Source organism: Homo sapiens, chromosome 12 (assembly GCF_000001405.40).
Source record: "Homo sapiens chromosome 12, GRCh38.p14 Primary Assembly".
NCBI classification, from domain to species: Eukaryota; Metazoa; Chordata; class Mammalia; order Primates; family Hominidae; genus Homo; species Homo sapiens.
Genome location: NC_000012.12, coordinates 82,984,108 through 83,008,318, shown reverse-complemented (window position 1 = coordinate 83,008,318; position 24,211 = coordinate 82,984,108). Strand labels below are relative to the sequence as shown.

The 24,211-nt window shown below is 37.4% G+C and overlaps 1 protein-coding gene across 5 annotated transcripts in view, besides 1 other annotated feature; it reads right to left on the bottom strand.

Annotated features, from left to right (window-relative positions):
- Nucleotides 1–24,211, bottom strand: part of TMTC2 (transmembrane O-mannosyltransferase targeting cadherins 2) — a 447,961-nt gene that overhangs the window by 126,548 nt on the left and 297,202 nt on the right. For all 5 annotated transcript variants that reach the window (XM_017018884.3, NM_152588.3, NM_001320321.2 and 2 more), the window contains one exon: nt 22,273–22,394. In XM_017018884.3, coding sequence (XP_016874373.1) covers nt 22,273–22,394 — 122 coding nt within the window. The remainder of the gene's footprint in view (nt 1–22,272; nt 22,395–24,211) is intronic.
- Nucleotides 3,937–4,438: an enhancer, noted in NCBI's record as "NANOG hESC enhancer chr12:83397660-83398161 (GRCh37/hg19 assembly coordinates)". NCBI's record gives its function as "activates a minimal SCP1, AML or CMV promoter by ChIP-STARR-seq in primed H9 embryonic stem cells {active_cell/tissue: H9 hESC(primed)}" and the evidence as "EXISTENCE:reporter gene assay evidence [ECO:0000049][PMID:30033119]".

Sequence of the window (24,211 nt, the reverse complement as noted above, 5' to 3'; positions counted from 1 at the left end):
TGGGCAATTGGAATATCAGAAGGAGAAGAAAAATAGAGCTAATGTTATAATGATTGAGGGCGTTCCCAAATTAATGAAAGATACAAAACCAGAGATTCAAAAAACTCAAAGGCCACCAATAAGATACATTCCAAAAATACTAAACCTATGCATATTATTAGGTTGGTGCAAAAGTAACTGTGGTTCTTGCCATTACTTTCAATGGCAAATCTGCAATTACTTTTGCTCCAACCTAATATATTCAAACTTGTAGGAAGACAAGGAGAAAATCTTGAAAGAAGTCCAAACAGGGGGGAAAAAATCACCTTACCTATGGATAAGGTTGCGAATTACAGTGAACTTCTGATCAAAAACCATCAAGCAAGAAGAGAGTAGAGTAAAATATTCAAAACACTGAAAAACAACCCCACAAATCTAGAATTTTATATCCAGTGAAACTATCCTTTAAAAATGAAGCAGAACTATAAACTTTCTAGATACAAAACCTGAGGGAATTTATTATGAGCAGACTTTCCCATAAGAAATCCTACAAGATTTTCTTCAGGCAGAAGGAAAATGATATCAGAGACTTGGATCTATATTAAAAAATGAAGAGGGTTATAGAAAGAATAAATGAAGGTAAATAAAATATTTGTCTTTTTCTGAGCTTATCTAAATAACTGTTTAATGTAACAATAGTAATAATTAATTAGATGATTACAGCATATAGGTAAGTAGAATGAGTGACAGAGATGTCATAAAGGACAGGAGGGAGGAATTGTGAATACTCCGTAAGGTAATTGTACGCACATCAAGCAGTTTAATGTCACTTAAAGGTATACTTAGTATAAAGTGTCCATCACAAACTCCAGGGCAACCACCATGAAAATTTTTAAAGAAATATAATTGATACACTAGGAGAGGAAATAAAATCATATTAAATGCTCAATTAAAACGTAAGAAGAACGAAATACAATGCAGCAAAAGCAGTCCTAAGACTGAAGTTTAAGTGATAAGTGTGTACATTACAAAAGAACAAAGAGCTCATATCAACAACCTACCTTTATACCTCAAGAAACTAGATAAAGAAGAAGAAACTAAGTCCAAAGTCAGCAGAAGGAAGGAAACAATAAAGATTAGAACAGAAATAAATGAAAGAGAGAATAGAAAAACAATAGAAAAATAACAACAACACTGAGAGTTCGAATTTTTTTTTTCAATTCTAAATTTTCTGGGTTTTTTTCTATTATACTTTAAGTTCTAGGGTACATGTGCACAATGTGCAGGTTTGTTACATAGGTTTGTTACATACATGTGCCATGGTGGTTTGCAGCACCCATCAACTCGTCATTTACATTAGGTATTTCTCTTAATGCTATCCCTCCCCCAGCCCCCGACCCCATGACAGGCCCTGCCCTGTGTCCAAGTGTTCTCATTGTTCAATTCCCACCTATGAGTGAGAACGAACATGCAGTGTTTGGTTTTCTGTCCTTGTGATAGTTTGCTGAGAATGATGGTTTCCAGCTTTATCCATATCCCTGCAAAGGACATGAACTCATCTTTTTATGGCTGCATAGCATTCCATGGTATATATGTGCCACATTTTCTTAATCCAGTCTATCATTGATGGACATTTGGGTTGGTTCCAAGTCTTTGCTATTGTGAATAGTCCCACAATAAACATACGTGTGTGCATGTGTCTTTATAGCAGCATGATTTATAATCCTTTTGCTATATACCCAGTAATGGGATTGCTGGGTCAAATGGTATTTCTAGTTCTAGATCCTTGAGGAATCGCCACAATGTCTTCCACAATGGAAAGTTCGGTTTTTTAAAGGTAAATTCAGCAAATTCTTAACCAGACTAAGAAAAAAGAAAGAAGATTCGAATAACAAAAATCAGAAATGAAAGAGGAAACGTTACAACTGATAGCAAAGAAATAAAAAGTATCCTAAGAAGAGGAGGGAAAAGAGGGCCAAGTAGACACACCCAGGAAGAGCCTCTCCAAGCGAGTGAGACCAAAATATGGAGCAAATCAACATACTTCAAGACAGATCTTTTGGGAGAAAACACTAAGAGTTGACAGAGAGGCAACGCAGGCACCAAGGCTAAAGAGAGAGGAAACTAAGAGCACTGCATGGGATGGCCGACCTACAGGAAGGACTCCTTGGCCCTGAATGGCTCCTAAGGAAGTGGTAAGTGAGGAACCTGTAGAGAAACCCACACTTACCATGGACTTCTGGGATCCTGGCTGCACAAGATGCCACCACCCCTACAGACAGTTGAGCTGGTAGGGGGGACTGCCCAGAGAGTAGACAGAGACCAAACTTGAGCATGTGTAAAGCCCAGGGGGTTTTTGCATGGGGACAGCTGCAACAAAATATGGTAATAGGCATCGATATCCAAGGGTTCTCCATGCTCCTCTGCATGGCTCTTAACTTTGCTGAATGGACTGGGAGAGAACAGGGCTGTCTTTCCTAAGATATCAAGGTGTGTCAGATCTGCACATCTGCCTGTGCACTGACCCCTCCTGGGGTTCCCTGCTTGGCTGCTTGCACAGGAGCAGGCATACTGCTTTGAGTGCTTTGCTAGTGGCCTGGGAGCAACCCCACCCTGGGGCAATTCCCCGCCAAAACCCCCTGCCTCCACCAAGCACAGCTGGTGCTCGATCTCAAAGGGTCAGAGGACAAGGCTGCTGGCCCAGTAGGTCCCAAGTCCCCAGGGTCAGAGCACGTAGATCCAGAATGCAGAGCTGAGATTTGTGGTTGGAGCAGGGTAAGAGCCGTCACTCTCAGAGCATGGGGAAGAGTGAAGCGGGGGTTCAAGGGCACGGCACCAGTGATTGCAGCAGGCTCCCCTAAGGTCCAATAACGTATATGATAAGGGGGTCATCTCTTCTCTCCCATCTCCCCCACCACAGAGCACTACTGCAAAGGTGCTGAATCACAAAAGAGGTGCTAGGCTAGGAGCCAATCGGCCAGCCATTACTCTTTTTTTTTTTTTTTTTTTGGAGACCAGAGTCTCCTTGCGTTTCCCAGGCTGGAGTGCGGTGGCGCAGTCTCGGCTCATTGCATTCTCTGCCTCCTAGGCCCTTTTTTCTTTTCTCTCTCTCCCCTTTTTTTTTTTTTTTTTTAATAAGACAAAGTCTAGCTCTATCGCCCAGGCCGGAGTGCAATGGTGCAATCTGGGCTCACTACAACCTCCGCCTCCCGAGTTCAAGTGATTCTCCTGCCACAGCCTCTGGAGTAGCTGGGATTACAGGCGCACACCACCATACTTGGCTAATTTTTGTATTTTTAGTAGAGACAGTGTTTCACCATATTGGCCACTCGGCTGTTTTTTGTATTTTTAGTAGAGACAGTGTTTTACCATGTTGGCCAGGCTGGTCACGAAGTCCTGACCTCAAGTGATCCGCCCTCCTCAGCTTCCCAAATTGATCTGCCTGCCTTGGCCTCCCAAAGTGCTGGAATTACAGGCGTGAGCCACCACTCCCTGCTTCGCGCCTGCCAGCCATGACTCTTAAGCACCATCTACTGGATTGGAACTTGAATTACACCGCCCTACCCCTACTCAAAAAAAAAAAAAAAAAAAAAAAAAAAAAAAAAAAAAAAAAAAAATTCGGCCAGTATACACTGCCTGTGAAACAAAATGCAGGAATCTTTCCACAAATAAAGATCCCGTGCAGAGCCATGGCCTTCTGTTAGGACCCAGAATTGAAGCCAAATGAATAGATACATATCTCACAGTCAAACCCTTAAGATAAATAAAGAATATAAAAATAAAAAGTCCCACCCAAATGACAGCAAATTCTAAAACAGATAAAGGAACACCAGCCCTCTCAGATGAGAAAGAATCAGCACAAGAACTCTGGCAATTCAAAAAGTCTAAGTGTCTCCTTACCTCCAAATGATCTCACTAGTTTCCCAGAAATGCTTCTTAGCCAGATTGACATGGCTGAAATGACAGATGTACAATTTAGAAATTTGGATGGCAAGGAAACTCAATGAGATCTAGAAGAAAGTCACAACACACTCCAAAGAATCCAGGGAATCCAGTAAAATGATCCAAGAATTGAAAGATGCAATAGCCATTTTAAGAAAGAACTAAACCAAAAAACTGGAAAAGTTCTGGAAGTGAAAAATTCACAAGGAATGTCATAATACGGTTGGAGGCATTAACAACACAACAGGGCAAGCTGAGCAAAGAATCTCAGAGCTCAAAGACTAATTATTTGAATCAATGCAGAAAGACAAAAAAGAGAATAAAGAATAAGAAAAATGATTAAATCTCCAAGAAATATAGGCTTATGTAAAGAGATCAAAACTGCAATTCACTGGCATTCCTGAGAGAGAAGGAGAGAGGGTAAGCAACTTATAAAACATATTTGAGGATATGTAAGAGTTCACGAAAATTTTCCCAATCTTACTAGAGAGGTCAACATGCAAATTCAAGAAAATCAGAGAATTCCTGCAAGATAATATAAAAAATAAGCACCCCCAAGACACAGTCATCAGGTTCTACAAGGTCAATGAAAAAGAAAATATCTTAAAGGCAACTGGACTTGTCAGCAGTAACGTTACAAGCCAGAAGAGATTGGGGACCTATTTTCAGCATCCTTAAAGAAATGAAATTCCAACCAAGAATTTCATGTCCCACCAAACTAAACTTCATAAATGGAGGAGAAATAAAATCCTTCTCAGCCATGTAAATACTAAAGGAATTCATTACCACTAGACCAGCATTAAAAGAGGTCTCTAAGGGAGTACTAAACATGGAGATGGAAGAACAATACCTGTTGCCATAAAAACTCTATTAAGCACATAGCCCACAGATATGATATAACAACTATACAATCAAGTCTACATAAAACAGCTAATAACACAATGATAGGACTAAAATCTCACATATGAATATTAATCCTGAATGTAAATGATCTAAACACCCCCACGTAAGAGGCATAGAAAGGCAAGTTACATTAAAAAATCAAGACCCAATTGCTGTTTTCAAGAGATCTGTTTCACAGGTATCAACACCCACAGGCTCAAAGTAAAGGGATCAAGAAAGACCTGTCTGACAAAGGGATAGGAAAAAAAAGAGATGAGGTCATTATTCTCATATCAGATAAAACAGACGTTAAACCAACAACAGCCAAAAAGGACAAGGAAGGGTATTATATGATGATGAAAGTTTCAATTCAACAAAAAGACTTAACTATCCTAAATATATACATAGCAAATATTAGAGCACACAGATTTATAAAGCAAGTTCTTCTGCAGTGATGAAAAGACTTAAGGCAGCCATATAGTATAGTGGGAGGCTTTAACTCCCCACTGACAGCGTTAGACAGATCATTAAGGCAGAAAACTAAAAAACAAAACAAAACAAAAAAACCTAGGCCTAAACTTGACACTTCAATAACTGGATCTAATAGACATCTGTAGAATATTACACCCAACAACCACAGAATATATAATCTTCTCATCTGCACATAGAACATACTCTAAGAGCGACCAGATGCACAGCCATACACAAGTCTCAATAAATTTAAAAAAAAAAATCAAAATCTTACCAAACACACTCTCAGACCACAGTGCAATAAAAATAGAAATCAATACCAAGAAGGTCACTCAAAACCAATCAATTACATGGAAATTAAAGAACTTGTTTCTGAATGACTTTTGGGTAAACAACAAAATTAAGACAGAAATAAAAAATTGAAATAAGTGACAACAGATGCAGCATACCATAATTTTTGGGATGAAAAAGCAATGTTAAGAGGAAAGTTTACAGTGCTAAATGCCTATATCAAGAAGGTACAAAGATGTCAAATTCAAAATCTAACATCGCACCTACAGGAACTGGAAAAGAAGGAAGAAACCAACCACAAAGCTAAATTGAGTCACAAAAATCCATACAAATTATCAGTGAAACAAACAACTGGTTTTTTGAAAGAATAAACAAAGTTGATAGATCATAGCTAGATTAACAAAGAAAAAAAGACAGAGAAGATGCAAATAAGCATAATCAGACATAACAAAGATGACATTACAACCAATCCCACAGAAATAGGAAAGATCCTTCAAAATTACTATGAAATCTAGAGGAAATGGATAAATTCCTGGAGACACACAATTTTCAAGATTTAACCATGAAGAAATTGAAACTCTGAAGAGATCAATAATGAGTTTTGAAATTGAATCAGTAATAAAAAAACCTAACCACCAAAAAAGATTTCCACTGGATGGATTCACAGACAATTCTGTTGGATGTACAAAGAGCTGGCACCAATCCTACTGAATCTATCCCAAAAAACTGAGGAGAAAGAATTCCTTCCTAACTCATTCTATGAAGCCAGCATCATTCTGATACGAAAAGCAGGCAGAGACACAACAAAAAAGAAAACTTCGAGTCAATAATGCTCAAAACTCTGTCTTTTTTTTCTTTGTTAATCTAGCTACGATCTATCAACTTTGTTTATTCTAACAGTGATATGAATAATGAAATTAAGGCTGAGGTGGTCTCAGATGGAGATGAGGAACTTGTTGGGAACTGGAACAAAGGTGGCTCTTGTTATGTTTCAGCAGAGACTGATGGTATTTTGCCCTTGCCCTAGAGATCTGTGAAACTTTGAACTTGAGAGAGATGACTTCGGGTATCTGGTGGAAGACATTACTTTTTCTTTTTCTTTTTTTTTTTTTTTTTTTGAGACAGAGTTTTGTTCTTTTTGCCCAGGCTGGAGTGCAATGGCATGATCTCGGCTCACGGCAACCTCCGCCTCCCAGGTTCAAGCGATTCTCCTGCCTCAGCCTCCCAAGTAGCTGAGATTACAAGCATGCGCCACCAAGCCCAGCTAATTTTGTTTTTAGTAGAGACGGGGTTACTCCATGTCGGTCAGGTTAGTCTTGAACTCCCCACCTGAGGTGACCCACCCACCTCGGCCTCCCAAAGTGCTACGATTACAGGCATTACCCACCGTGCTGGGCCCTAAGGTGGAAGACATTTCTAAGTAGCAAAGCATTAAAGAGATGACTTGGGTGCTGTTAAAGGCATTCAGTTTTATAAGGGAAGCAGAGCGTAAAAGTTTGGAAAATTTGCGAGCTAACAATGCAATAGAAAAGAAAATCCTATTTTCTGAGGAGAAACTAAAGCCTGCTCCAGGAATTGGCATAAGTAACGAGGAGCCGAATGTTAATCACCAAGACAATGGGAAAAATGTCTTCAGGGCGTGTCAGAGACCTTTGTGGCAGCCCCTCCCGTCACAGGCCCGGAGATTTAGAAGGAAAAAGTGGTTTTGTGAGTCCGGCCCAGGGTCCCTGTGCTGTGTACAGCCTAGGAAGTTGGTGTCCTATGTCCTATCCCTCCAGCCATGACTAAAATGAGCCAAGGTACAGCTGGAGGCTGTTGCTTCAGTGGGTGGAAGCCCCATGCCTTGGCAGCTTCCATGTGGTGTTGAGCCTGCAGGTGCACGGAAGTCAAGAATTAAGGTTTGGGAACCTCCACCTAGATTTCAGAAGATGTATGTAAATGCCTGGATGACCAGGCAAAAATTTGTTGCATGGGTGGAGCCCTCATGAAGGACCTCTGCTAGGGCAGTGCAGAAGAGAAATGTGGGGTCAGAGTCCCCATAGAGTCCCCACTGGGGCTCCACCGGGAGCTGTGAGAAGAGGGCCACAGTCCTCCAGACCCCAGAATGGTAGATCCACTGACAGCTTGCACCATGCACCTGGAAAGGCCACAGACACACAACACCAGCCCATGAAAGCAGCCAAGAGGAGGGCTATACCCTGCAGTCACACGGGTGGAGCTGCCCAAGACCAGAGGAACCCACATCTTGCATCAGCATGACCTGGATGTGAGACATAGATTCAAAGGAGATCATTATGGAGCTTTAGGATTTGACTGCCCTGGCAAGGTGCGGTGGCTCATGCCTGTAATCCCAGCACTTTGGGAGGCTGAGGAGGGCGGATCATGGGCTCAGGAGATCGAGACCATCCTGGCTAACACAGTGAAACCCCATCTCTACTAAAAATACAAAAAATTTGCTAGGCATGGTGGCATACACCTGTAGTCCCAGCTACTTGGGAGGCTGAGGCAGGAGAATTGCTTGAACTAGGGAGGTGGAGGTTGCAGTGAGCCAAGATCATGCCACTGCACTCCAGCCTGGGCGACAGAGCGAGAATCTGCCTCAAAAAAAAAAATTGACTGCCCCCACTGGATTTTGGACTTGTGTGTGCCTGTAGCCACTTTGTTTTGGACAATTTCTCCCATTTGGAATGGCTGTATTTACCTAATGCTTGTATCCTCATTTTATCTAGGAATTAACTAACTTGCTTTTGATTTTAAAGGCTCATAGGTGGAAGGGACGTGCCTTGTCTCAGATGAGACTTTGGACTGTGAACTTTTAAGTTAATGCTGAAATGAGTTAAGACTTTGGGAGACTGTTGGGAAGGCATGATTGGTTTTGAAATGTGAAGACATGAGATTTGGGAGGGTTCAGGGGCAGAATGATATGGTTTGGCTCTGTGTCCCCATCCAAATCTCATCTTGTAGCTCCCATAATTCCCACATATTGTGGAAGGGACCTGGTGAGAGATAACTGAATCATGCTGGTGGGTCTTTCCCATGCTGTTCTCGTGATGGTGGGTAAGTCTCATGAGATATGATGGTTTTAAAAACGGGAGTTTCCCTGCACAAGCATTCTCTCTCTCTCTCTCTCTTTGCCTGCTGACATCTATGTAAAATGTGACTTGCTCCTTTTTGCCTTCCGCCATGATTTTGTGGCCTCCCCAGCCATGTGGAACTATAAGTCCATTAAACCTCTTTCTTTTGTAAATTGCCCAGTCTTGGGAGTGTCTTTATCAGCAGCGTGAAAACGGAATACACTGAGTGTCTTTACAATGGGGAACTCTGACAAAAACTACCTCAAGCCATGTTATCAAGTTTAGCATAAACAATGATAAGTCACATCGCTAATAGATATCCTTGATATCATGAGGATGATAATTTACCTCTGGTGGTTTTCCTCCCAAACCCCATAGTCTAAGTCTAATCGTGACAAAATATCAGCCAAATACCAACTGAGGAACATTCTACAAAATATATGACCTTTACTCCTCAAAATTGTCAAGGTCATCATAATAAAAATAAGTCTGAGAAACTGTCACAGCAAGAGGAGCCTAAGGAGACATGACTACTAAATGTAACGTGGTTTCCTAAATGGGATCCTGGAACAACAGAAGGACATGAAGGAAAAACTGAAGAAATCTGGATAAAATATGGACTTTAGTTGATAACAATATATCTATGTTGGCACATTAATTGTGACAACTGTATCATACTAATGTATTATATTAATAATAGGGGAAACTGAGTGTGGGAATATGAGAACTCTCTGTACTAACTTCAATTCTGTAATCAAACTATTCTAAAATAAATATTTATTAAAAATTAATTGCATTAAAAAGTCTATCAGAAGTGCCATAAAATTATAGCCTTTGTTTTATCTGAGTTAAAAATACATAGGTGCCTCATATTTTTTTTCATGTTGGAATAGTTTGCAACACAAATAAATTCATAAGATAAAACTTAAAAAAAGATTATGACTCAAACTGCTAAATGTGGAGGGTGAGAGCATCCCAGTTAAAGGAAAAATCTCAAAGTCATAACTGCTTCCTCTGATGTATTATTCTGTATAGGATATAAGTAACAACATTTGCCAGAGATATGTGAGGAAAAGATTTTAAATACTGGAATCACCAAATGCTGTTTCTATTTGAGAAATGGAAAATAATTACAATTTGCTTAAGATCACAAATTAATAAAGTCAATTTCCTCTTTCAAACTTATGACTGGTTTTGTAAGCATGAAAAAAAGTTGTTTTTGTTTTTTTTAACTAGTATTCTGAAAATTACATATACATCCTTAAATGCATTAAAACATTATCAACTAGTAGTTCAACTCTTTTCTTTTGGATTCATCTAGACAAATGGCTATTTTCTGCATAGCTCTAGCCTCGATGTTAATAAGAAATCTTTCTCTTTCAAAATGTTGACCTCATTGGCACTTCCATGCTGATTTCCTGGAGCTCTCCTATTATCTCCGTCCACCCATCATATCAATCATAGAGGAGAGCAATGAATCACACTCTTTTTTAGTAAGTTTTCCAATGCTAAACACTGACAGCACACTTGACAGTAATAAATTACTGAGTAAGCAACAGCTCAGGTGTTCTGTCACCAACTCAAGGTCTACCAGTTTACCAGGTAAATAGTAGTTTCTTTCACTTATGTTTATTTCTAAAACTTTTGTATTCTGCATGACTGCTCCCTTTCAGTTTGGTATCTTATAAAATTCTCCAAAGTACATTTGGCAGAATACTGTTATCTTGGGATAAATGGATTCAACTTGAAAAAACCTGTTTCATATGATGAATAAGCTAAATAGGGCTTTAAATACAAAGAAGACTTTCAGAGCCTTTAATGGATATAATATATACATATTTTAAGAATGAAATATAGTATGTATCTTTCCTCACACTAATTTGGCTACTGGATTTTTTTTTCAAAGGACATCTAGAAGTATTATATTACGTGGAATATATTTTGGAAATGGATTTTGTACATTTTAGGAATACTGCTTTGATAATTCCTATCAAAGCAAAAATGGCAGCAGTAAAATAATGGCAGTAGTAAAATCTTCTTGGCATTCTTAAATTTCAGCATATTTGAAATTCTTCTTTTTATTCTTACTTAAAAGCAATCCTTGCTATGTAGCATTACTTGTTGAGTCAGCTTTGCTAATGTTTACAGTCAAAGCAAATATATAAAGGTAAAAATGCAGTTACATATGCCTACATAAATACAGACATACATAACTATATATAAAAATATTATAGTTCTCTCTCTCTGTGTGTATATATATATATATACACATATATATATACACATATATATATACACATATATATATATACACATATATATATATATATACACACACACACACACACACACACAGACACACACACACACACAGTCCAGGCAAATGTGTAAAAGCAAAGTTATATACACCTATATAAATATAGACGTATATAACTATACATAACTATATATATATATAGAGAGAGAGAGAGAGGGAGAGGGGGAGGGAGAGGGGGAGGGGTGGGAGAGAGAGAGAGAGAGAGGGAAGTATCAAAATGATGAGGGAGTCAGGATGGAAGAGTCCTCTTCCATATCAGCAGAGAGAGAGTGGAGTGATTACCACTTTGGCAAATGTGTACCCTAGGTAGAAAAGGGGAAGACAGACACCCTCAGGAAAACATCTTGAGCCAAAGCAATAGATTGAAACTTAATCCTTTACTTCTGCTGATGTAACCTCTTTGAGATATACAAGGAAATCTTACAACATAAGGTCATAGGCTTCGGATCAAGTAATTTTCTGCTTTAAGTGAGTAAATTTCTGATTCAAGCAGACAGAAAGTCTATTTCTCTTTTAGCTATTGCTATTTCATCTCAAAAGATGAGAAATAGAAAAACCTATAAAATAGATGATATCTTCAGGTTTCATCTTTCAGAGACAAAAATTTCTTGGTGATGTTACCTCTAAAAACCACAATACTTATTTCTCCATTATATGACATCATTATATATGGCTTTATACAACAGTCAGTGCCCAGTGTAAACTCTATGCCATACAGCTAATGTCAAACTGACAAAAGAGTCCTACTTACACATGAGTCATTCTGCATATTGAGGTCTTCTACCACAGGTACTGTTATTGCCATGCAGACTGAATTACAGTATATGCTCAAGAATGTACCTCATCCTGTCACTTTTGACAAAGAGCCTCAATTATGTTGTACAAATGAGAGTCCTGCAATTTTAAGCCTTTTAAAAGAATTATGCCTTCCACTGTGAGAAGAAATCAATTACTAGGCAGGTAAGTGCTCAGGTGCTCTGGCTTCAATCCAACATTCTACCAGTTAAATGTTTACCAGATAAAGGTCAAGCCAATTCACTCAGGTCTCCCATGCCCTTCACCCTCACCCCTTTCAGTGTGGAGTATAATAATGGTTCCTTCAAAACTTCACATTTGAGGAAAACTATATACATCACATTCAAATTAAAAACTCAGCTGTAAACTCCACTGTCACTATTTTCTATCACAAATACAAATACTTAAATCTTTTTTACCAGTAGCTATGTTAAAATTCTTTTCATTTAAAAATATACACAGAAAATGCATTTTCCTTTCAGAACTGTATTAGAAGAAAAATCTAAAAACTGAATGAAGGTTTCTTTTCAAAATGTTTTTATGCATTTTGAAGTCAGGCATTTATGTACATGAGATACCACATATGTATATTTTAGCATAATAACCAAAAAGCTAAAGAGCAATTTTAAAGGGCTGGTGTGGTGGCTCACAACTTTCATACCAGTCCCTTGGGGGATTCAAGGAAGGAGGACAGCTTGAGCCAAGGAGGTGTGGACCACTACACTTCAGCTCCGGTGACAGAGCAAGACCCTGTCTCAAAAACAAACAAACAAAGCAATTTAAATAGTACTGCTTTCAGAAAACAGGAGGGAGCCACCTCACAAAACAATCCACCTTATATGTAATATTTAATTCTTCATAAGATGAAGAAAACAAGAGATGAGGATTTATTTAATATATCAAGGGATATATGAAATGAATAAGAAGCTCAGAACTTGGGAAAAATGTGAAGCTGACCCCAGAATTAACTGTGTTTGAAGCAAGTACAATTTTACTAAAAACTAAGGATACACTCCATAGCTCTGCAGGCTTCATGCTTCAGGTTGCTGAGCCTCATGAGCCTCAAATGTAACATAGGTAAACATAAGGGGAAATCACAAAAACCTTATGAACTTGTGAACATGTTCATGGCCAGGCAGGTTTTGAACCAATTTATGAGTCTGCAAAAACGAAGACCTTCACATCTTAGAACAGATGTGGCATCGTTTATGTGCGTGTGTGTGTGTGTGTATGTGTGTGTGTATAACCAAATGCCACAAGGAAAAAATACATTTCCTTTTGTAAAAGCATTGGCCCAACTACTTGAGAAGAAATATGTTTCTAAAAATGTATATTGTCTGTACCATCACTCCTAAGAGTCAACATAGGCTTAGACCAGATGCTGTTTTAACAAGGAGCGATACTCAAATGTTCTACTTGATATATTATTAGAAAAAAATTACCAAGCAAGGGAAACATAAAGCATAAACTAAAAAGTTTAACTCATGTGAAAATGTTTTTATGCTTTATTATGTGATAGGAGAGTCAATATGATGTAGCAGAAAGAATAACAAGCTGGAAGCTATGAAGTCAAGTATCATAGAGTATCAATGGGGCTTATTTAACAAATGAAAGCTATAAAATGGGGGGCGGGGGGTGGAATCTTCCAAGTGGTATGGGATCCTGTGCCTATAATAAAAATTAAAGGGTAAGGTAATACAATGAATGTACCTACATAATTGTGCTTTCTGAAACAAAAACGATTTCCACCAGTCACTAGTATGGTAGACTGACTTTTATTGTGAATTTCACCTAAATAAAATACACGGAGGCCAAGGGAATGCTGTTAGTCTTTGTACCACCACTGCTTATTAGACAGAAAGAGACAAAGTTCAGGCTCAACAAAAATGTGTATCCAATGCAAGTTTTTATACAGGACTGCCTTTTTTTTTTTTTTTTAGTTCTGTAAGAAAGCCAAGCTATATTTAAAAAGCATGTCACTTCTCCATCTATATGCCTCCAGTAATATGGAATATCAGAGTACTAGGGATTATGAGGGCTTGAACCAGCTGGCTATTTATATTGCATTAAATGACGATGATAGATCAGATACAGAAACCAAACAGACAAGTTAAATAACAACAATAAATGTGTGAGACGGGCACGGTAGCTCATGCCTGTTGTAATCCCAGCATTTTGGGAGGCCGAGGTGGGCAGATGACTTGAGACCAGCCTGGCCAACATGGCGGAACCACAGCTTTACTAAAATTATCCGGGCCCGGTAGCGGGCACCTGTAGTCCCAGCTACTTCAGAGGCTGAGGCACGAGAATTGCTTGAGCCAAGTGAGAATTCCAGTGAGCCAAGACCGTGCCACTGCACTCCAGCCTGGGGCGATACAGCGAGACCCCTGTCTCAAAAATATAAAAAATAAAATTTTAAAAATGTGTGGACCCCTGGGGAGTTAATAAAAAATTACAAATGGGCTTAGATAGCAGGAACAGAAACAGGGGTAGAGGGCAAATGTTATGAGAAATGAGGTCAACCCCAAATGGCTCACTAGCACCCAAGCACCCTGTTACATGCACGCTGCTCACAGCACCCCCTGGACCCAAGCATCCTGTCTGCAAGCATTCAGCCTAAAGCAGCACAGCCTTATAAAACTCCCATCTAGCCCCTACCTCTTTGCAAATAGCAGACAGCCTTCCCTCCGCTGTCTTGCCCATTGCTCCCTTGCAATGTATCTCCCCCGTTTCTCTAAATAAATCTGTCTTTCTACACTCATTAATGTCTTGGTAAATTCCTTTACCACCCGCACGCCAGCCTCAGAGAGTCGCTGACTATGACAAAATGTAAGTTACCTTAAAAGCAATATACAATTGACCCTTGAACAATGTGAGGGTTAGAGCGGCCAGCCCTCATGCAGGTGAAAATGTACATATAACTTTTGACTCCTCCAAAACTTAACTAATAATATAATAATAGCCTGTGTTTGTGTGCATAAATTTTGATAAATTTTAACTTTTTATAATAGACTTGTGTATATCTTATAGCAGTAAATGATGGACTAGTATCTACGTATATTTTATGTATTTATGACACATCTAACTTTAAAAAAAGTTATTCAATATATCTAGGCTATGAAGTTTGTCTGCCTGTTTTTTTAAATTGTTGCAAATCTCCAAAAAATTTTCCAATGTATTTATTGAAAAAAAAAAACTGTGTATAAGTAGACCTGCACAGTTCAAACTTGTGTTGTTCAAGGGTCAACTAATCTTACTTGTTTTGAAATAAATAAATAAAAAGCTGGCCTGGAGCAGTGGCTCACGCCTGTAACCCCAGCACTTTGGGAGGCCAAAGTGGGCAGATCATGAGGTCAGGAGTTCGAGACCAGCCTGGGCAATATGGTGAAACCCCATCCCTATTAAAAATACAAAAATTAGCCAGGCGTGGTGGCATGCACCTGTAGTCTCAGGTATTCGGGAGGCTGAGGCAGAAGAATCGCCTGAATCCGGGAGGCAGAGGTTGCAGTGAGCCGAAATCGTGCCACTGCACTCCAGCCTGGGTGACAGAGTGAGAATCCATCTCAAAAATAAATAAATAAATAATAAAAAACAAAGCAGCATATATATGTAGATATAGCTGAAATTATCTCATGTGGCCTTTAATGCCACATTAGTGGCATACTCAAAAGAATTTGAGTATTTTAATTTTTATTGCTCCTGAGACTATCAGGCAAAAGAAATAGCTCTAATGATGATTTCTACTAAGTGACATACAAAAGTTGAATCAAAGCCTGAGAGATTTTGGAGATTCCTGTGTCACTTAGTGACAGCAAGTAGAATAATCATAAGACTGATACTAGAAAACAAATGCATATTTGGAGTGGAAGGGAGATCCTTAAAAATGAACTATCAGATTCATTATGCTTCAGAGTAAAAATAATACAATGATAACTCTATTAGCTCCAGACTGATAAATCATAACGTTCAGGTACAGCAACTTCATATAAAGGCTTAGCTGAATATATTGTGGTGATTAAACTTCCTTCTATATTTTCATCCAATATTTCAGTAGCATGATATATGTGATATTATGTCTTCACTTTTTCATAGAATAAATTTAGCAACTTGAATTATATATACCCATAATAATTACTCAATCAGATTAACAGGAAAAATTACCATTTGTTCTGAACTAGCTCCAATCTAAACATGTCTGTGCAGTAATTATAATAAATAAACAAACAAACAAAAAAACCCAAATATTGGTCAGCTTCCAAAATGAAGGTAACTCTTCTCTGGAGAGGGTCAAATGAATGAAAAAGAAGTCTTAGCTCTAAATAATAATAGCAAAAGGCCCATGGAAACACACTGCATTACATTTCCAGATAAACTACACTGACACCATTTCAGCCTGGGGTATGGGACTTTTCTGTGGAACCTCCACTACTTCCACAACTGGAGTTTTATGTAGCCTAATTAACTTTGGCTAGACACAGGAGTCTGGCTCAGTGCTCTCATGCCGTAGCCAAAATAAAGGTTTTCTGTATCAAGAATTACTGTCAGAGTCTCCAATATCCTTCCTTCTCTCCTACTAACCTGAATCTGGAAAATAAGCTAACAGCCAAGTAACTTTTACTACAATTTAAGTCAATATTAATTTTATTGGCTCACAAAACTGAAAAATATTTGGCTTAAATAAAAAGGACAAAAAGAAACGAAGTAAGCATGCGCACACAACTACAGAACCCACACAACTTTAGAAACAGCTATAAAACCATCTGAAATACCATATTAATGGAAATGTTATTCCTTCTTTTCTCTCTTTTAGCATGCCCAATTTTAAATTCATGGCACTTGCCCTAGGTAACAAAGTTCAAACAAGGAATAAATCACAATTTTAAGCAGAGCAATTCAAACTCATCTTGTGTTTAGTATTTTAATTGGACATGACATTGGTATGAAATTTCCATATATTTTAAAGAGATGTCACTTGGGTCCAACTATATTTAAACATGGAGGCTACAATGACTCTAATACAAAACTATTCCCCAGGATACCCCGAAATTTTTGTATTAGAAGTATAATGTAGGATATAAAATTGTCAGTAGCCTAAAACTGAAGTCTTATGTTCATGACCTATCATGCCTAATAATAAAATTCTGTTTAACCACTCAAATTAAACTAGTATCCAAAGATAGTTTCTAAAAATAAGTTATAAAAAGAGGATGGGGGAATAAGTAGTTATTGAGTAACTAAATAACTTGTAACTTACTAAGTAACAAGGTAGTCAAGTTATTTTTCCAATCTCCAATCAGTTTAATCACATACACCAAATGGGAAAAAAAAACTCCACACTTAAAATTATTTAATGTGGACAGAAAATTAATGGCAGTTCAGAAAACCTTGAAGTTATATTCAATTCTACTGTTTAGTAGTGAAATGACTTTTGAGGATGTTCCTCAAACCTTTGAAGCTCAGATTCTTCATTTATAAAAAGGGGATAATACTCCCTAAGGGTTGTTATCAAGCTTCTATTAAATATCACATGTCAAGCACAGGCACTGAAGAGATGCACGCCCCTCTTGTGCCCATCTCCCCATCTAGGATTTTGGAAGATTACTGTGTGTTCACTCTATAATCATGCCACCCTCATTCATTTTTTTTCAGCACAGATCACTGAGGATTAAAGCAATACCTAGCTTGAAGAAATAAGTCTCAATATATGTGTTGACCAAATGAAGGGATTAATGAGGGAATGAGTACTGGAGGGGAGGGAGGGAACAAAAACATTTAAAAGCCATGTCCCCAGCCCTTAAATAACTTATAAAGGAAAAGGCACATGGGTACAGGGATAGTAACTAATACATTGAAATGGCAGGTACTGAAGAAATAAAAAGTAAAGACTCACCCCCTGCCCCATATCTAGTGTCAAAAAACAGACACATATGTATGTGTCATTCTATTTGGAAGTGTCCTACTATGAAGATACTGAGACCGGTACTAATGAAGTATAGAGAAAAAACAAAAAAGGAACTGCTTAAGAAAGTCAGGCAAGACTTCACGGAAGAAATAAAATCTGAACAGGCAAAGAGAGGAAAAGGACATTTTTGGCAGAAAAATAAAAGAGGATTTGATCTATAAAATGTGCCAAAGCATTCTGGGAAACCTTAAATCCGTTTGAACTTTTCTAAATTCTGTAAATATTACACAAATTCTTAAAGACAAACTTTAAAAAAAGTACTGAGTGAATCATTCCACTGACTGTAATAAAAGTACTAATAATCAATATTTTTCTAATATATCTTGTAAACATATAAGTCTTATATAAAATCCTACTCTCCAGTCTAAGTCTAATATAGTTGCATTTCATTTTTACATATTTTCCCTTCGGCCAGTTTTGATTAAAGAGTGAAAACACCACTCAATTTCTATTCCTCTTCTCTTGAAACTAGCAGCCAATTCCATTTTATAATATATTTAAAGCATTCAGAAGTCAAAATGTGTGGTATTTTCTACCTTTGCAAATTCTATGTTAAGCCAGTGGGCTGTTACCAGGCCAAGAAACCCCAAATTAGACAAAAGCTATCCATAGGGATCAGAAATTTGCCAAATGTCATAATTTAGAAAGAAGCTGTTAAAGATGGTTGTGGGGTTTTGGCACTGTGAGTTTAAGCCATTCCATAATAGGGTTTGTATTTCATCTAATCAGCAAGTCGGAAACTATAAAAGTCTTGGTGGGGGGGATTAAAAATTTGGATTGTAGTATAGGAGTCTTTCCTTTCCTTCCATATGGTTTGGTAAATTAAAACTTCTAAATCTGAAAAAAAAAAAAGCCTCCTGAAAAGAATAAAACAGCCTTTAAAATCATATTTTTGGTACAGGAAGCCTAAGTAGTCAGGCTTGAAAAATTTTTTTAGAAAGGTCACATGGTTTCTATATCGAGTGCCATGGTCTAAGCATATACAGAATCATGGAAATTTAAGTTTAATTTTTTTTTCTTTTCTAACTTTTTTTTGGGGGGGGTGCAGGTGGGCAATGAATTAGACATCTGAAACTTTTAGATTTTTTTTTAAAGGTGGCCATTTATCAATCTAGCTTAGGTATATTAATTTAATACTTATGTGGAGTTGTGTGAATCACCACACATCACACAGAATCATCAGTACAGAAATGGGAAAAGGTTTTCTTAGGGTAAAACAACTTTTCCCAGGTGATTAAACTAGAAGTATCTGTAAATAGCAGAAACAGAGATGGTAATCTTCAATTCTTAGTTATTGTTCTTTCCCTTCCTTTGTTCTTTCTCTGCCATTTGGACCCCATATTGATTTCTTTCATAATTCCCTCTTTTACATTCTTTTATGTCCTCATTTTTTGTTTGCATATAAGATGATTTCATTACCTTTATTCTCCTATCTTCCAAATGAAAATCATGTTGCTATCATACCTTTAAATTCTATAAGCTCTTTCTTGCTTTTTTTGGTTTCTTTTTTTCTTGACATCCTGCTTCATAAAATGCTGTATGTTTCTGTCTCTTTCTAAGGATTATTATTCTTTTAAAGATGTCTTCTGATTTAGAGTTCCTTCTCCTAATAATTTGTTTTAGTTCCAGTCTTTTTAATTTGTGTCTTTCCTGATATGACTGATGATCCTTGGTTACCCATTGATGTTTAAGAATGAGTTAATTAATAAAAGCTGAATCGAATTCCTAAGGCACAGACAGGCATTCTAGATGGAATAGATTCACTGTGCTCTGTCTGGTTTGGGAGCCAGTCATTTACAGGGGACCTCTAAATGTAGGTATTTGAAAACCTTTTCCTTACTGTGATTTAGTTTCCCTGGATCAGAATTCAACAATTTGAGAGGTAAGGTGTAAGCAAAAAGGGTGGGCTGGAGGAAAGGGGGTAAACTCTGTGTTGCTGGTATTCTGCATGGGATAGGGGAGGGGTATTAAGGATCTGAGTACTCCATGGGAAGACCCTCAATCAGTCCTCTTTTCACTCCCCTCCTCATTCTGCCTTCAACTGTGCAAGCTGTTCTTGAATCTTGAACTTCTCTTTATTTACTTGTTCTACCTCTTAAGGGCCCCTTTCCCTTGCCTTGAAGGCAGGTGCCTAGTTGCTGGCATTTGTGGGCAAAGGGGAGAGACCTGAATACTCCATTCATTGGCTGCAATTTACTACCCCATTTTATGTCCCTTAACTGACTCTTTTCTGTGTCAGCTGCCTCCATGTCTTGAGCCTCTCCAGGTTTCTTTGATGTAAGCCAGATTTCTTTTCATTGTTATCCCATTCCAAAGTTTATTTAGATTTTCATTTCCTTCTCCCAGGCAAGTCAGTTATAATACTTCCAACTGCTTTCTGAGTTGCAAAAATCAGCTGTATCTCTTATCCACTGAAATCTCTCTTCCCATTCCTATTGTTCCTGTATAGTATTCCCTTAATATTTTATTCATTAAAAGCTTAGTCTGATTTGCCCACATCATCACCAATTTCTTTGCCCAGTACTTTTATGCACCTCACTCCAGCATTCCTTCTAGATTTGTGTTCTCTTGAAGAACATCTCCAGTAACTTCTTCAGCAAAAGTTTTTAGTAGACTAAATTTTATTTAATTTATTGGCTTCGGAATTCCAGGGTCATGTAGGTAAATTCAAAACCCAAAGCTTGGTAAAGAAAGGACAGGAGCAACAAATTCCCAGCAGATACTTTGTTCACTCCCCATCCAGATCCCATTCTGAGATAGGCAAATATTCACGCTGCCTTCTTATACTTGTGGACAAACTTATGTTGTCCTTTCAAGGCAGGTAAGAATTTCCCTGCCTTATTTAGGCATTTAATTCCTGCTCTTCCATTGGCCCAAAGCGTTGTTTCCTATTCTAGAAATAATGAAAACAAACAAACAAAAACCACCTTCTCACTGGTTTCCACAATCAGTAAATAATCCCAGATGAGCTGCAGGACCTGCCTGCTGTTCACTGCTCTGGTATTCAGTTACCACTTCATTTCTAGCTCCTAGGAACTTCTCTTACTACTCATGCTCAGTTTAGTGTTAAAAACATATCTGTTATATTTTATTAAGTAGATCTAAATATTTTTAGTGGGATGTTTTCTGGTTACTTAGTCTACCTATATGATTTCTTTTTTTTTTTTCTCTTTTTTTTTTTTTTTTGAGATGGAGTCTCTGTTGCCCAGGCTGGAGTGTAGTAGCATGATCTCGGCTCACCGCAACCTTGGCCTTCTGGGTTCAAGCGATTTTCCTGCCTCAGCCACCTGAGTAGCTGGGATAACAGGGACGCATTACCACCCTTGGCTAATTTTTGTATTTTTAGTAGAGACGGAGTTTCGCCGTGTTGGCCAGGCTGGTCTTGAACTCCTGACCTCAGGTGATCTGCCTGCCTCGGCCCCCTAAAGCGTTACATGATTTCTTGAAGAGTATTTTAGTGGTATTTTAGAATGGATATTTGACAATTATAAGTGTTATCTACCATCTTCTGTGGAAAGTAAAATGTTATTATTTTTGAAGTAACACAAAAATACTTTTCAATGAATTCACTTAGGAATCACCTTCCTGATCATTTGCTCTATGTTTTTCTAATATTCATTTATTTTTATTAATATTGAAGAGAGATTAGGTACTATAACTAAAATAATACAGATATTTGATTCAGACTAAGATTGAAGCCTAGTTCTATCACCTATTGTCTATGTGAGCTCAGAAAACTTAAACTTTTAAACTATTCACTATTGTGTAAAATAAAGACATTACTATTACTTTGAAATATATGAAATTACCATTTTTATAGGTCATAGTGGTACAATACTAGTAATTTTTTATGCTCCATACTCATGTCACTTTCGTGAAATGGTGGCCTCCAAGGGTGCTTGTCACATAGTAAGAGGCCATCAGATAGCCTCCCTTCTCTTACAGAATGATTTTAATTAGAAGGAATTTCAGCACACAGAATTTTATACAATGTTGGCTATTTATAAGAATCAGATTTAGTTCTAAGTATAGCCAATTTGGGGCTAACACTGGTTTGTAGAACATAATATTTATGCAAATATGATTATTAGAACAAATTCATTATGTAATTCCATATTTGGGATTCTCCATTTATATTTTTCAAAGTTACATCAACGATCATGGCATCTCACATCTGTTTGTTTTGTTTTTTTAATTTTTTAATTCTTTTAAACATTTTCTATAGGTGCATATATTTATGGGATACAGGAGATGTTTTGATACAGGGATGATACGGACATCTCACATCTTATCTAGACCAAGATGTAAGATACAGACATCTCACATATTATCTAGATCAAGATGTAAGATACAGACATCTCACATCTTATCTAGACCAAACCTCATAGGCAAAGTAACACATTTTTCTATATTTTCTGTACAGGGTTCAAAGTTAGTATCACCACCATTGCATCCCTAATAGCTTAGATAACTGGCTGTAAAACAGTACCTCAAACCCATCTATCCCGGTCTGCATGGAGAAAACCAAGTTTTAAAGACCAAGGAAGGCGGTTACTCACTGTTAGAGCTAGCAGCTTCCCATAGGTGAGATGAGCAGGGATGTGGTCAGTCTTGGATCTCAGTGATTCCATATACCAATGCTCTGCTTCGGGGAGTTTGCTTAAACGCATATATGCTTCACCTGGAAAGAGAATTAATCATGAAGGTCAAAGGGAGGATACAGCTTTTCCACATTATTTGCAACAGCATCATCATCATCATCATCATACTGCGTGGAATTTCAGATGCTGTGGGAAGTACTTTCATTCATGTTCTCATCTGATTCCCAAAGAAGTCATCATGATTCCCATTTTACAGATGAAAAATCATGTGTTTGGAAAATGAAGTAAAATGGCTCAAGTAAAAAATTTAATAAGTAGTAAAGCTTTGATTTTTAACATAGAACATCTGATTCCCAGACATATGTCCTTTATCATCATTTCTTTTCCTTTTTGAGAGCTATGTTTGTTCTTTATTCTTTTGTTCTTTTTTATTCATATTCATTTATTCCTTTAGAAATTCAAGTATTTATAGAATAACCAAGTGGAAAGCCTTATAAAGGAACTATAAGAAAAAAGTGTGAGATCCTATCCACAAATGACTTACCTTTTTGAGAAAGAGTAATTGAAAGAGTTAAAAATATATTTAGATTAAACACTGCTGCTAATTTCTTTAAAGAAACTATTTGAATTTTATATGTTAACAAGTAAATTAAGGCCAGGATAGGGGGCTCATGCCTGTAATCCCAGCACTTAGGGAGGCCAAGGCAGGCGGATAGCTTGAGTCTAGGAATTAGAGACCAGCCTGGGCAACATGGTGAAACTCCATCTCTGAAAAAAAATTAGGTGGGTGTGGTGTCATGCAGGTGTAGACTCAGCTACTCAGGAGACTGAGGCAGGAGGATCACCTGAGCCGGGGAGATCAAGGCTACGGTGAGCCCTGATCGCACGACTGCACTCAAGCCTGGGTGAAAGAGTGACACCCTGTCTCAAACAAAAAAAATTATTTTAATTAAATAATTAAAATTATGATTAATAAAATTAACTAAATAAATTTTACCAGTTTCATTTGGAAAATCCAATAAACAGATGACAATTATTAAGCATGCCCAGCACTACATACAACATGAGTGTGAGGCATTTTGGCCACGAGTCATTACTCTAATAATATATATTTTAGCTACCAAACAGCATTTCACTAACAGCAGAGCAGGATAAAAAAGTTGGAAATAAAGCCAAAAGTATACCAGCTGCCTATGAATTATCATTCCCCTTTCCCTTATGTGATTATATGGTGAACAAAATATTCAACTGATGCAACAATTGTATTTAAGATAATTTATATATTTAAGTTAAATATTGTAGTTTTACTAAGCACTGCAAATGTAGAGACACTATTCAGTTTCTGAGACCAAGCAGTAAACTGGTGACTTGCATTATCTTCCAGACAGACCTTTATATATAAGCATAAGTAATCATAATCATGACAGCTTTTTCTTTTAGAGGCGTAATCAGAGGCTTTTTGTAAATGAATTGCCCACATTGGATGTATAGTTTTTGCTTCAAAGGAAGAACTCATTCCTTTTTGTTTTAATCATATTCAACTTGTATTACTATGGCATTGTAAATACGAATATGTTTGATGAAGTGAATTGGTTTGAGTCTCTTGATCTTTTGAATGCCCTTTGCTTTGCTGGATAGTGAAAAATATTGGTGACAAATAATACATAGTATGCATAAAAATACACATTTTTACCCACTCACACATATCTATGTGTTTCTAGTTCGATGAACACTCCTTAAACTATATTATCATAAAAATGATAGTTGAAAAATGTTTGATTTTTTTCCCTCAAAGTTTAAAACATATCTGCACTTAAGAAGTTGGTGAAATTAAATTATATGTCTAAGGAAAGACAAAAGAAATACTGAAGCAAAGATGAAAGACTGGAATAAAATA